The sequence below is a fragment of the Homo sapiens genome, chromosome 9 (assembly GCF_000001405.40).
Source record: "Homo sapiens chromosome 9, GRCh38.p14 Primary Assembly".
In the NCBI taxonomy this organism is placed as follows: Eukaryota; Metazoa; Chordata; class Mammalia; order Primates; family Hominidae; genus Homo; species Homo sapiens.
In genome coordinates, this window is record NC_000009.12 from 128,755,985 (window position 1) to 128,770,891 (window position 14,907).

Here is a 14,907-nt window from a genome sequence, read left to right on the forward strand (position 1 = left end):
TGTTCCATGCTGTGCAGTACTTCCTAACCTGTATACAGCTATGATTGATTGAGCACTTAGGCTGTGCCAGGGCTTAATAGACATATAGACATGATATCACTGAATCTCATGGTGTCTGATTAAAAATGAAGGCTCCTTACAAGAGCAATGAAAACATATGTCCACATAGAAACTCAGACGTGGCCGAGCACGGTGGCTCATGCCTGTAATCCCAGAACTTTGAGAGGCCGAGGTGGGCGGATCACAAGGTCAGGAGATGGAGACCATCCTGGCTAACACGGTGAAACCCTGTCTCTACTAAAAATACAGAAATTAGCCGGGCGTGGTGGCGGGCGCCTGTAGTCCCAGCTACTCGGGAGGCTGAGGCAGGAGAATGGCGGAGTGCGGTGAGCCGACACCCTGCCACTGCACTCCAGCCTGGGCGACAGAGTGAGACTCCATCTCAAAAAAAGAAACTCAGATGTGACCATTCATAGCAACATTATTTGTAAGAGCCAAAAAGTGGAAACAACCCAAATGTCCTTCAACTGGTGAACGGATCAACAAAATGTTACATATTCATACAGTGGAATATTATTCAGTCATAAAAAGTAGTGATCCATGCTATAATGTTGGACCTTGAAAACATTATGTTGAGTGAAAGAAATCAGTTTAAAAAAAAAGTCATATACCGTATGATTCCTCTGATAGAAATGTCCAGTGACGATAGGCAAATCTATAGAGACAGAAGTAGGTTTGTGGTTGGGAAAAAGGAGAGTAACTGCCAGTGTGTATGGAGTTTCTTTTTGGGGTGATGAAAATGGTCTAAAATTGACAGTGGTCATGGGTGCACTCTATGAATATACTAAAAATCATGGAATTATATACTTTATATGGATGAATTGTGTGACATGTGAATTATATATATCTCAGTAAAACTGTTATTTAAAAAAGTGAAGTCTCCTACTAGCTTCATGACTTTAGCACAGCTAAAGATTTCCTAACTAGGACTCAAGAGGTGCTAACCAGGAGGTAGAAAATCATAAACTTATCTACACCAAAGCAAAGAAACTTCTGTTCATGCATACACAAAAATTAATTTGAGATAGATGATAGATATAAATGTGAAAGTTAAAACAATAAGGTTTCTAGAAGAAAACACAGGAGTATATCTTTATGACTTTAGGCAATGATTTCACATGAAGAGAAAAAAACTGATAAATTGGACTGCCTCAAAATTAAAAACTCTGTTCATCAAAAGTTACCACACAGAGCCTGGGTGCAGTGGCTCAAGCCTGTAATCCCAGCACTTTGGGAGCCAGAGGTGGGCAAATTGCTTGAGCCCAGGAGTTCAAGACCAGCCTGGGCAACATGGCGAAACCCTGTCTCTACAAAAAATACAAAAAAAATTAGCTGGGCACGGTGCCATGTGCCTGTAGTCCCAGCTACTTGGGAGGCTGAGGTGGGAGGATCACCTGAGCCCAAGAGGTTGAGGCTGCAGTGAGCTGTGATTGCACCACCGCGCTCTAGCCTGGGCAACAAAGCCAGACCCTGTCTCAAAAAAAAAAAAAGAGTGAAAGATTTGAACAGGCATTTCATGAAGGAAGATAGTGAAACAGACAACAAACATGTGAAAAGCACTCAGCTTCTTTACTATTAGGGAAGTGCACAGTAAAGCCACAATGAGATGCCATTTTCCACACGCCCACTGGCTCAACTGAACGCAACTGCAGCAACAACAACATGGGCAATACCTGGCATTGGGGAAGACGGGGAACAGTGGGAAATCTCCCACAGGGCTGGCGGCAGGGCAAATTGGTGTGAACTGGGAATACAATGGGAACAGTGTTTAACACTATTCACTATTTACTAAAGCTGAACGTACATACGTTCAACACTTAGCAACTTGACTCCTAGGTATATACCCAACAGAAATGCATAAGTAAATGTGCACCAAAAGATCTACACTAGAATGTTCACAGCAGCACTATTTGTAATGGCCAAAACCAGAAAAGAACCTACATGTCCACTGGCATTGGAATGGATAATTATGGTATATTCATCTACTAAATACTGCATGGCAATGAGAAGGCACAAACTCCTGTTAACAGCTTGGATAAGGCTTACAATGTTTTTTTTTTTTAATTTTTAGTTTAGGTTTTTTTTTTTTTTTTGAGATAGAGTCTTGCTCTGTTGCTCAGGCTGGAGTGCAGTGGCATGATCTTGGCTCACTGCAACCTCCGCCTCCTGGGTTCAAGTGATTCTCCTGCCTCAGCCTCCCGAATACCTGGGATTACAAGCGTGCGCCATCACGCCGGGCTAATTTTTGTATTTTTTTCTTTTAGTAGAGACAGGGTTATCCATGTTGGCCAGGCTGGTCTCGAACTCCTGACCTCAGGTGATCTGCTCGCCTTGGCCTCCCAAAGTGCTGGGATTACAGGTGTGAGCCACTGTGCCTGGCCTTAATTTTTAATTTTTGAGATAGAATCTCATTACCTGGGCTGGAGTGCAGTGGTGTGATCTTGGCTCACTGCACCCTCTATTTCCCAGGCTCAAGCGATCCTCCCACCTTAGCCTCCTGAGTACCTGAGACTACAGGCATGCATCACCACACCCGGCTAATCTTTCTGGTTTCTTTGTTTTTTGTTTTTTGTTTTGTAGAGACAAGATCTTGCTATGTTATTCAGGCTGGTCTCAAACTCTTGTGCTCAAGCAATCTGCTTACCCCCGCCTCCCAAAGTGCTGGGATTACAGGCATGAGCCGCTGCACCTGGCCAACCCTTACTGCATTTAATGAGAGGAGTCAGACACAAAAGGATCTACACTGTGTCACTCCACTAAGTTCAAAATCAGGGGAATCTCATCTGTGGTGGGAGAAGTGAGGACTGTGGTTACCCGGGGAGGTGATTGGAAGGGAGTTTCTGGGTGCTGAGGAGCTTCTAGTCTCCTTGATCAGAGTACTGGGTATCCAGGCTCGCTTACTGTGTGAATCTTCACCGACCTGTGTATCATGATGTGTGTACTTTTTCAAGTGAATTTTTTTTTTTTTTTTTAGACTGAGTCTTGCTCTGTCACCAGGCTGGAGTGCAGTGGCGCGATCTCGGCTCACTGCAACCTCCACCTCCCGGGTTCAAGTCATTCTCCTGCCTCAGCCTCCCGAGTAGCTGGGATTACAGGCATGGGCCACCGCGCCCAGCCAGTGAATATTGTTTTTTTTTTTCTTTTGAGACGGAGTCTAACCCTGTCATCTAGGCTGGGGTGCAGTGGCACGATCTCAGCTCACTGCAACCTCCGCCTCTCAGGTTCAAGCGGTTCTCCTGCCTCAGCCTCTGGAGTAACTGGGATTACAGGTGCCTGCCACCACACCCAGCTAATTTTTTTTTTTTTTTTTTTGGTAGAGATGGGGTTTCATCATGTTGCTCAGGCTGGTCTCGAACTCCTTACCTCAGGTGATCCGCCCATCTCTGCCTCCCAAAGTGCTGGGATTACAGATGTGAGCCACCGTGCCTGGCCCGAATATTGTAATTGAATAGAAAGTTAAGAAAATGGCGGCTGGGCATGGTGGCTCACGCCTGTAATCCCAGCACTTTGGGAGGCCAAGGCAGGTGGATCATGAGGTCAGGAGATTGAGACCATCCTGGCTAACACAGTAAAACCTTGTCTCTACTAAAAATAGAAAAAATTAGCCGGGCGTGGTGGCACGCACCTGTAGTCCCAGCTACTTGGGAGGCTGAGGCAGGAGAATGGCGTGAACCCAGGAGGCGGAGCTTGCAGTGACCCAAGATGGCACCACTGCACTCCAGTCTGGGCAACAGAGCGAGACTCCGTCTCAAAAAAAAAGAAAAAAATTAATCAGACTCTATACTCATATTTTGTGCATCTTTCCTTATGTATGTATTTTTTTGTTTGTTTGTTTGGTTGGTTGTTTTTTTCTGAGACAGAGTCTCATACTGTTGCCCAGGCTGGAGTGTGGTGGTATGATCACGGCTCACCGCAGCCTTGACCTCCTGGGCTCAAGCGATCCTCCCACCTCAGCCTGTTGAGTAGCTGGGACCACAGGCATGTGCCACCACGCCCAGTAAATTTTTTAATTTTTAGTAAAGACAGGGTCTTTCTGTGTTGCCCAGGTTGGTCTCGAACTCCTGGGCTCAAGCGATCCTCCCATCTTGGCCTTCCAAAATGCTGGGATTGCAGGCGTGAGCCACTGTGCCTGGTCTCTCATGTATGTTATACTTCATAAAAGTTTTTTATTTTTTTGAGACGGAGTCTTGTTCTGTCACCCAGGCTGGAGTGCAGTGGGGCAATCTCAGCTCACTGCAACCTCTGCCTCCCAGGTTCAAGCGATTCTCCTGCCCCAGCCTCCCGAGTAGCTGAGACTACAGGCGTGTGCCACCACGCCCGGCTAATATTTTGTATTTTTGGTAGAGATGGGGTTTAACCGTGTTAGCCAGGATGGTCTCAATCTCCTGACCTTGTGATCCGCCTGCCTCGGCCTCCCAAAGTGCTGGGATTACAGGCGTGAGCCACCGCACCCAGCCCCAAAAGTTTTCTTTTAAGTGCAGGCTCTGTGGTCAGACAGATCTATGTTTTGACCCAGTTATACAATTCACTGTAAAATTACTTAACCTCTCCATTGAGGCCAACATAGTGAAACCCCGTCTCTACCAAAATACAAAAAAAAAAGCTGGGTGTTGTGGTGCACACCTGTAATCCCAGCTACTCAAGAGGCTGAGGGAGGAGAATCACTTGAACCTGGGAGGCGGAGGTTGCAGCGAGCCAAGATTGCGCCACTGCACTCCAGCCTGGTGACACTGCACTCCAGCCTGGCGACACAGCGAGACTCCGTTTAAAAAAAAAAAAAGTTACTTAACCTCTCCAGACCTCAGTTTCCTCATCTGAAAAATGGGGATAATAGGCCAGGCGCGGTGGCTCACGCCTGTAATCCCAGCACTTTGGGAGGCCGAGGCAGGCGAATCATGAGGTCAGGAGATCAAGACCATCCTGGCTAACACAGTGAAACCTGTCTCTACTAAAAATACAAAAAATTAGCTGGGCGTGGTGGTGGGCACCTATAGTCCCAGCTACTCGGGAGGCTGAGGTAGAAGAATGGTGTGAACCCGGGAGGCGGAGCTTGCAGTGAGCCGAGATCGCGCCACTGCACTCCAGCCTGGGCGACAGAGCCAGACTCTGTCTCAAAAAAAAAAAAAAAGGGAGGGGGGGATAATAATCTCTACTTCACAGGGCTGTGGTACTAAATGAGATAATGTTGAAGAAATGCTTAGTCCCAGCCCAACAGACTAAGTACACAACATGGTGGTTATGACCCCACCTTTTTTTTCTTTTTTCAGAGTCTTGCTCTGTCACCCAGGCTGGAGTGCAGCGGCACCATCTCAGCTCACTGCAACCTCTGCTTTCCAGGTTCAAGTTATTCTCCTGCCTCAGCTTCCTGAGTACCTGGGACTACAGGCACCTGCCCCTACACCCGGCTAATTTTTGTATTTTTAGTAGAGACGGGGTTTTGCTATGTTAGCCAGGCTGGTCTCGAACTCCTGAGCTCAGGTGATCCACCCGCCTCGCCTCCCAAAATGGTGGAACTACAGTCATGAGCCACCATGTCCAGCCCTATGACCCCATAATTTGTTTTTTTTTTTTTTTTTTTGAGACAGAGTCTCACTCTGTCACCCAGGCTGGAATACAGTGGTACGATCTCGGCTCACTGCAAGCTCCGCCTCCTGGGTTCATGCCATTCTCTTGCCTCAGCCTCCCAAGTAGCTGGGACTACAGGCGCCTGCGACCACGCTCGGCTAATTTTTTGTATTTTTAGTAGAGATGGGGTTTCACCATGTTAGCCAGGATGGTCTCGAACTCCTGACCTTGTGATCCGCCCGCCTCAGCCTCCCAAAATGTTGGGATTACAGGCGTGAGCCACCGCGCCCGGCTGACCCCATCTTATAGAGGAGGAAACTCAAGGTCAAACAGAGGGAGCTGTGTAAACTAGACTGGAACCTGGTCTCGTGGAATCCCTCACATCTCTTAGAGCAAGCTTGTCCAACCTGTGGTCCATGGGCTGCATGTGGCCCAGGACAGCTTTGAATGCAGCCCAACACAAATTTGTAAACTTTCTTAAAACATTATGACATTTATGGACTTTTTTTTTTTTTTAGCTCATCTGCTGTTGTTAGTGTTGGTGTATTTTACGTGTCGCCCAAGACAGTTCCTTTTCCAGTGTGGCCCAGGGAAGCTAAAAGATTGGACACCCCTGACTTAGAGGGTTCTGGAGTTCTGGGGCCCAGCATTGTCCCAGCTTCTGGGAGCCTCCCTCTGTGCCCATTTGTAAACCTTCCAGACTGCTCAGGAAATCCAGCGGGAAGCCACAGGGCACACTGGGCTTTGGAATCAGCCAGTTCTGAGTTCAACTGTGGCACCACTGTCTACTGGGGACTGTGTGTGGATGGGCTGTGGATTCAGGCAGGCATAGCTCACATTTCAGCCTTGCTGCTCACGAGGAGACAAACTTGGGCAAGTGTCTCCACCTCTCTGTGCCTCAGTCACTTTTCCTCTAAAATAGAAGCAGCACAATACCTCATCCCCAGCACGGTGTGAAGATTCCATGGAATAATATCAAAAGGGCTTAGAACGGTGTCTGGCATGTAGTCATTGCTCAATAAAGACAACCGTTATTATGTTGTTGTTATAATCATTACCTTCTCCTACCTCATCTGCCCTGGCTCCCAGCTCCGGGCCTGTGCTCCCCGGCCTGGGTCTCCCACAACAAGGCTCATTGTGTCAGCTGTCCCACTGGCAGCATGGCACCCTCGAGGGAAGGCACAAAAGCCAGGATGCCTGGGCCCCGGGCATGGCCTTCCTTTGCCTTCATTTGCTTCAAGATCTTTAAGAGCCCAGCAGCCTCTCTTGCCTGGGAAACTGGAACCAGAGGGAGCACTGCTGGCAGAGAGTCCCCACTCTTGGAAAGCAACTCTTTTCAAGCCCACCGGAATTACAGCCAGCTTTCTGGCCTACTTGGTCCCCACTGCCCCCCTACTCCAGCCAGCCTGGCCTCATCATTCACTGTCCTGGCAAAAGGCCCTCGGCACAGGTCACCTTCAGACCTTTGCCCAGTCTGTTCTCTTTCAACCAGGACCATCCAAATTCAACTAATTACTGCACTTTCTAATTTAAATACTGCCTTCTCCCCTCCCCTACCCAAATACACTCCATGTCCTTCCTCCAGGAAGTATCTCCTGGCCACTCCAGCCCACATGATCTTTGAACTCTCCTTTCACGTAGCTGATACCTATGGTCCCAGTGTCAAAGTTACTTCCTCTGGGAAGCCATGCTTAACCCACCAGGGTGTGCCTGCTGAGTCCCCCCACAGGCCCGATCTACCACAGCAATGAACACTTGGTACGATGTGGCTTTGATGATTCAGCATCCTTGATGGATGGCCAGGTCCATGAGGGCAAAACCAGGCTGTCTTGTTTGGTATCACCTCCCTGGACCTGCTCACTCAGTCCCTGCTGAGCACTGGGGGTCCTTGGTGAGCGAGCCGGACAAGGTCCTTGACCACATGGAGCGTACTGGCTCCGGAGGGAGACAGATCCACCTACAGGGCCCATAAGCGCCTGTCGCGTAACTGGGACCAGTGTCTTGCAGGAGAAGGGGCCTGGGGCTCTGGATGCCCAATCAGGGGACTTGCCCTGGACTGGGGAGTCAGAGCAGGTATCCTTAGAAGTGACATTTCAGGCCAGGTGCAGTGGCTCACACCTGTAATCCCAAAACTTTGGGAGACTGAGGTAGGTGGATCACCTGAGGTCAGGAGTTCGAGACCAGCCTGGCCAACATGGTGAAACTCCGTCTCTACTAAAAATACAAAAATAAGCTGGGCTGGTGGCGCACGCCTGTAATCCCAGCTACTCGGGAGGCTGAGGCAGGAGAATTGCTTGAACCCGGGAGGCGGAGGTTGCAGTGAGCCAAGATCACACCATTGCACTCTAGCCTGGGCAATAAGAGCAAAACTCCATCAAAAAAAAAAAAAGAAGTGACATTTCAGCTGGGACCCAAAAGATAAGTCCTAGTTAACTCTGGTGGAGGGGAGAGAAGGGGAAGGCGCTTTGGGAGGAAGCAAAGAAGTACCTAAGCTGCAAGGAGAGGGGGTGCATGGGACGTTGGCACTACGGGCCCAGGTCCATGACTATTTGCTAAATGAACAAAGGAAGCACTGAACACTCAATGTGGGGCCTGCCACAAGGTGAGGTTTCAACAAAGGCCTGTGGAAGGAATGACAAAGTACTCGCCATCAGAGGTCTGCACGAGGCCTGGGAGGTATAGTACACTCTCGCATTCTCCCTGCTTGCTGCACTCAGGACACTGCTGGGCGCCCAGTGGCTGCAAATGATGCCTCTTGGCTCGGAGGCTCTGAATGAGGGAGAGCCACTGGGGTTTTGCCTTTTCTGCAGGTCTGAGCCCAGTTACCTAGGCAGCTGCTCTGCCCTTACCATGCTCCCCAAGTGGAAGAAACACCACCACGTCAGTTGTCACGGTCACCAAAAGCCCCCAAAACATAAGCCAGGTAGATGGCGCCATCTGCTAGCCTCCCCTTAGCAGTGTTGACCTTGCCACTCAGGGCTGGAATGAGCTGGAAGAGGAAGCAGCCATCTTACATCCTGGCACAGAGACTGAAGGGCCCCGGGGCTACCATGCCCTGAGACCCATCCAGCTGCGGGCCTGGCACCTGCCAGAGGCAGCCATCTCTACCTACTCCACTCTACCTACTCCATTCCTTAGGGATTGTCATTCTCAGGGCAGTCACAGGCCATCTGGAATTCCAGCAACTGAGGACAGAGGGAGCTCTGGTTATGACCGACCACCACACTGGGAGAACCCTGTGTCTTTCTCCATCCCTTTTCTTGCATGTTCTCTAATACTAGGTCTATCATGAACATTCGACATCCTGGGGAATGAAGGAAGTGGGAGAGAAGAGAGAGAAAAACAGCACCAGCAGCAGCAGCAGCAGAAGGCACCGCCATACCACGTCCATGTTGGCTGCTTCCAGATGTGGTCCTAAGCTCCTTACAGGCTTTACTCCCTCGAGTCTCTTACTCAACCGACAAAATATTTCCTAGTACCCTGTACTTGCAACTAATTAATCATTTACATAACAATTTGTCAACTGACACCCTCCTACTGCCTGTGAGCTCTGGGAGGACAGAAGCTGTATGCTTGCTTGCATGCCTGCATCCATGCACATGTACACACACACACACACACACACACACACACACACACACGTGCGCAAGCGCGCACGCACCTGTATCCTTGGTGTCTGACTTCGGTGCCCAATTTATGCCTGGTGTTTAATAGAACAAAGGTTTGCTGTGGCTGGAATTCCCTTACTCTAGTACTGCAAGATAGAGATTATTACCCCATTTTCTGATGAAGATACTGACGCATACACAACTAAGCAGAAGCTTGCCTGAGATCACAAAACTGATGAGAGTGGGATGCAAACCTAAAGCAGACCCCCGCTTCTCACCAAATATTTGGTCTTCAGTCCATCCATCCAAACAATGGGAGGGAAAGAGAAACTGAAGTCTGGAGGTGGGAGCATGGGATCCCACCAGTGTCCTGATACCCAGAGGACAGAGAGGTTGGGGGAGCCAGAAGCTCTGAGCCTTGGAGCAGTACTCACCCTGTGAAATATTAACCTAGGAGCTGGGGGGAAAACCCAAACAAATGCCCTATTTACAGAGGCTAGACGCTTTCCAGGAGGCAGCAGATCAAGGGCCAGAGACTGGGGGTGTGAGGGGAGTCACAGCAAGTGTGGGGATCTCCAGGTGGTCGGGAAACAGGTGAAAACCAGACGCCACCTGGCTCTGAAAAGTCTGCAGAGATTAAATCTATGAGTTGGGTTATGTCAGAAAGATGCAGACACACAATAATTGGGGAGTGTGCCTCACAGCTAGGTGGCTGCTCATGATGCTGGAGACAGAGAGGCCTTGAGGAGGCTGCATTCGGCTAGTAATCAGACTGGTTGGGTTCTATTCTTGTAACCAAATGTATTAATGATCCTACCCATACTGAATACCAAGTATATACCAAGAATTCTGGCTGGGCGTGGAGGCTCACGCCTCTAATCCCAGCACTTTGGGAGGCCAAGGCGGGCGGATCACGAGGTGAAGAGATTGAGACCATCCTGGCCAACATGGTGAAACCCTGTCTCTACTAAAAATACAAAAATTAGCAGGGCGTGGTGGCGGGCGCCTATAGTCCCAGCTACTCAGGAGGCTGAGACAGGAGAATTGCTTGAACCCGGGAGGTGGAGGTTCCAGTGAGCCAAGATTGCACCACTGTACTCCAGCCTGGCAACAGAGCAAGATTCCATCTCAAAAAAAAAAAAAAAAAAAGAACTCTGTTAAGTATTTTATATGTGTTAATTAATTGAATTCTCTCAACACCCAACAAGGCAGGAGTTACCATCTACAACTTACAGAAAAGGCAGCTGGAAGGAAGGGGCTATGGCTATGCAATTTGCCAGAGACTATGGATCTGAACAGACAGATATGTACACAGGTAGTTCATTAGTTCAAGACGCAGTGTGTCAGGCTGGGCACAGTGGCCTACGCCTGTAATCCCAGCACTTTGGGAGGCCAAGGCAGGTGGATCACCTGAGGTCAGGAGTTCGAGCCCAGCCTGGCCAACATGGTGAAACTCCATCTCTATTAAAAATACAAAAATTAGCCAGGCATGGTGGCGGATGCCTGTAATCCCAGCTACTTAGGAGGCTGAAGCAGGAGAATCGCTTGAACCTAGGAGGCAGAGGTTGCAGTGAGCCGAGATTGCACCACTGCACTCCTGCCTGGGTGACAGAGCAAGATTCCGTCTCAAAAAAAAAAAAAAAAAAAAAAAGACCCAGTGTGTCCAGCTTTCCAAGCAGTTCGCATCAAAGTCACAGATAACTTATTTATTTATTTATTTATTTTTCTTTCTTTTTTTTTTTGAGATGGAATTTTGCTCTTGTTGCCCAAGCTGGAGTGCAATGGCACAATCTCGGCTCACTGCAGCCTCTGCCTCCTGGGTTCAGGCAATTCTCCTGCCTCAGCCAACCAAGTAGCTGGGATTACAGGTGCCCGCCACCATGCCAGGCTAATTTTTGTATTTTTAGTAGAGACAGGGTTTTGCCATGTTGGCCAGGCTGGTCTCGAACTCCTGACCTCAGGTGATCCACCTGCCTCGGCCTCCCAAAGTGCTGGGATTACAGGTGTGAGCCACTGCGGTCGGCCTATTTATTTATTTTTCTTTTAAGAGACAGGGTCTCACTCTGTCACCCAGGCTGGAGTGCAGTGGTACGATCTCAGCTCGCTGCAACCTCCACCTCTCACGTTCAAGCAATCTCCCACCTCAGCCTCTGGAGTAGCTGTGACTACAGACGTATACCAACAGACCTGGCTAATTTTTTTATTTTTTGTAGCGATGAGGGCTCACCATGTTGCCCAGGCTTGTCTCAAACTCCTGGGCTCAAGCAATACGCCCACCTCAGCCTCCCAAAGTGCTGGATTACAGGTGTGAGCCACCGCACCCAGCTGCCACAGATAACATTTTATCAATATGATAATACATTATCATTTTGTTTCCCAGATAAGGAAACAATGGTTGAAAGATGAGCAATGAGTTGTTCCTCCGGTAAGTGTGTGACCCTAAAGTTCGAGCCCCTTGCCATTATGCTATGGGGAGGGACCATTTCTCCAACCTCAGCTTTCCCTTCTGTTCCACGAGCCTCCGCCGCTTCCTTACAACTCAGGCACTGAGCTCACATGATCCAGTACTGCTGGTAACCACTCCGTGGCATGTCATTTTTTGGCCACAGCATTGAAAGCTTCCTGAGGGCAGGGACCCTATGTGATTTCTGGGGTCTCCATTACAGAGTATGTGAGTGGCTCAATGCCAGTGACAGGGCCTCGGCTCCACAAGATCCCCAGCCAATGTTTTCCAGCCTCAATATTTATCAAGGTCCTTACCTGTCAGCATGTTGCGAGTGGCACACGCTGTGTTGCGCGTGTTGTGAACAGGGTTGCTGAGGAGATGCCATGAAAGGATGGCAGGAAGGTGGTAACCAATAATTATGAAGAGTGATGTTCCTGAGAATAATGCTTCAAGAGACCCTTCTGCATCTCTGAAGCTGGAAAATCAGTTTCAGCGATTGCGCCAGATATAAGACAGTGGTCCACAAATAGATAACCAGACAGGGGTCTCTGCACTCACCTCTCAGGACTCCAGAACAGATGAGGTACTGAAGCCAAGCAAAAAAACCAGAGTGCCAAGAGCAGTCTTCCAGCTAGTGGGCCCCCAAAACGTGTCTGCATAATCCTAGTGGTACTAATGATAATACCTTTGTAGAGAGCTTCAGAACACACCTAATTCTTTCACAAGCTGTGTCTCATTTCATCCTCCCAACAGCCTTTAGAGTTAGTCGGAGGCAAGGGAAGGCCATTATTCTTAATCTACAAATAGGAAAACTGAGGCCCAGAGAGGAGATGGAACCTGCCTAACTCACACAGCAAGCCAACAGCAGAGCCGGGATTTGAACCAGGTCCGCAGGTCACCAGCCTGGGGTTCTACCCACAACAGCCTACCCCAACATGCTGGCTCTCAGCTCCTAAGTGCTCTGACCTTTCATTTTCAAATTCTCTGGCCCAGTTGCCCTGCTCAGCCTGTGTCCCAGGCCTGAGGATATAGTCCGGGCTTGGGGTATAAGGAGGGAGATCAACTGTGGTTCTGCTTCCTATAAAGCAGGCTGGAAAGTCTCAGCCTCTGCCGGGCACTTCCGGATCACCAGCCTCTACCCGTAGATCAGCCACGCACACTCCAACCACATATCTAGGCCCAGCATACACTGCCCCTCCCCACCTGTCTCCAAGTCACATTCATTTCAACACCCTCATTTTGCCTATTTTACGTGGTAGAATGGAAATTTGCTGGGCTCATTTTAATTCTTTTTTTTTTAGAGATAGGGTTTCCCTATGTTCTCCAGACTGGTCTCAAACTCCTGGCCTCAAGCGATCCTCCCAAAGCGCTGGCAGTGCTGGGCTCTTTTTTAAAAGTCCCCATCACCCTCCGCTGCTGTCAGAAAAGCCAGGACCAAGCTAACGTCTTCTCTGCAGAATATTAACCCAGTTACCTCTGAGGGGTGTCAAGAAGTTTCTGTCTTGCTTTCCCCAATATTTCCTCAAATCCTACTAGTTGATGGAGGCAGCTAGAGCTGGTGACACCACCAGCTAGTGCTAAAACGAACGGCTCTGAGGCAGACATACATGCCCACATTCCTCATCATCACATCATCCTCATCAGCGTGACCGCTATGTATTGAGCACTTTGTGTGAAATACTGCATTAAGCACTTCAGCCCATGATTTTATCTAATCCAACAGCCCTATTTTCTTTTCTTTTCTTTCTTTCTTTTTTTTTTTTTGAGATGGAGTTTCGCTCCTGTCGCCCAGGCTGGAGTGCTGCAGTGGCATGATCTCAGCTCACTTCAACCTCCACCTCCCAGGTTCAAGCGATTCTCCTGCCTCAGCCTCTCCAGTAGCTGAGATTACAGGCATGCGTCACCACACCCGGCTAATTTTTGTATTTTTAGTAGAGATGGGGTTTCACCATGTTGGCCAGGCTGGTCTCGAACTCCTGACCTCAGGTGATCCACCTGCCTCCCAAAGTGCTGGGATTACAGGTGTGAGCCACCACACCCAGCCTGCTGTATTTTCCAGATGAGAAGATTGAGGTGGAAAAAGGTCCCGTGCCCACCTTCTCACAACCAGGAAGCAGCGGCATAACTTAACTTGATTTAATCGCAGTTCTCTGTGACCATGATTCTTTGTATTTGTTCCATCAATGGTCATTACAAAGATGGAAGAAGGGTACTTACAACCGAAGCCCCAAGCACAATGGCCATTTGTCATCTAAAACAAATCTGTATTTTCTCCAACCACCAGACACTTCAACAAGTACGGTTCTGAAAGGGTGTCCCATTAGACACCCTGTGACCCTGTATCACAAGGACAGCCCCTGATGTCTTCCCCACCTTTTTCTGGTCCCCACTGTTCTCTGACTTTCTTGCCAACCACTCTTCCCTTTCTTCAACCTGCTCCAGTCCCCCATCCTCCCACTGTTTCTTTCTTTTTTTTGAGACAGAGTCTCACTCTTGTCACCCAGGCTGGAATGCAATGGGCACAATCTCGGCTCACTGCAACCTCCACCTCTCAGGTTCAAATAATTCTCCTGCCTCAGCCTCCTGAGTAACTTGGATTACAGACATGAGCCACCACGGCCAGCTAATTTTTTTTTTGGTACTTTTAGTAGAGATGGGGTTTCACCATGTCGGCCAGGCTGGTCTTGAACTCCTGACCTCAGGTGATCCGGCTGCCTCAGCCTCCCAAAGTGCTGGGATTACAAGCGTGAGCCCTTATGCTGTTTCTTCAAATCACCAGGCATATGACCACAGGACCTTTGCATTTGCTGCGGAATGCTCTGCCACAAGAGAACTACCTGGCTTGCTCCCTCACTTATCTCTGCTCAAAGGTCACCTTACTAGAGACCTTCCCTGAACACCCTCTATAAAATGACAACTCCCAACTCCTTCCCCATGGTCCTTCCTTCTCTATTTTTCTCCAAACCACTTATTACCTCCTTACATATCATGTTTATTATTTGCTGAATGAACAAATGAACCAAAGTAGCGAGGCCCTTCACCCCTGGCCACCACTTTCTGCTCTAAGTATAGCCTCCCGTGACCCTTTTCAAGGCTATGCTTTTATGCTCATCCTAACCAGTTTGAAGTCTGAAGAGAAACATTCTGTGAAAGATCATATATGGAAGGATTTTCCCAAGACATCAGACATTCCATTCCCCTCCCCCTTAAAAATCAAATGCACTAGCT

The 14,907-nt window shown here is 48.8% G+C and overlaps 1 protein-coding gene across 9 annotated transcripts in view; it reads right to left on the reverse strand.

Annotated features, from left to right (window-relative positions):
* The window catches only part of ZER1 (zyg-11 related cell cycle regulator), a 42,701-nt gene that overhangs the window by 26,199 nt on the left and 1,595 nt on the right, over window positions 1-14,907 (reverse strand). The gene's annotated exons all lie outside the window — the stretch shown is intronic.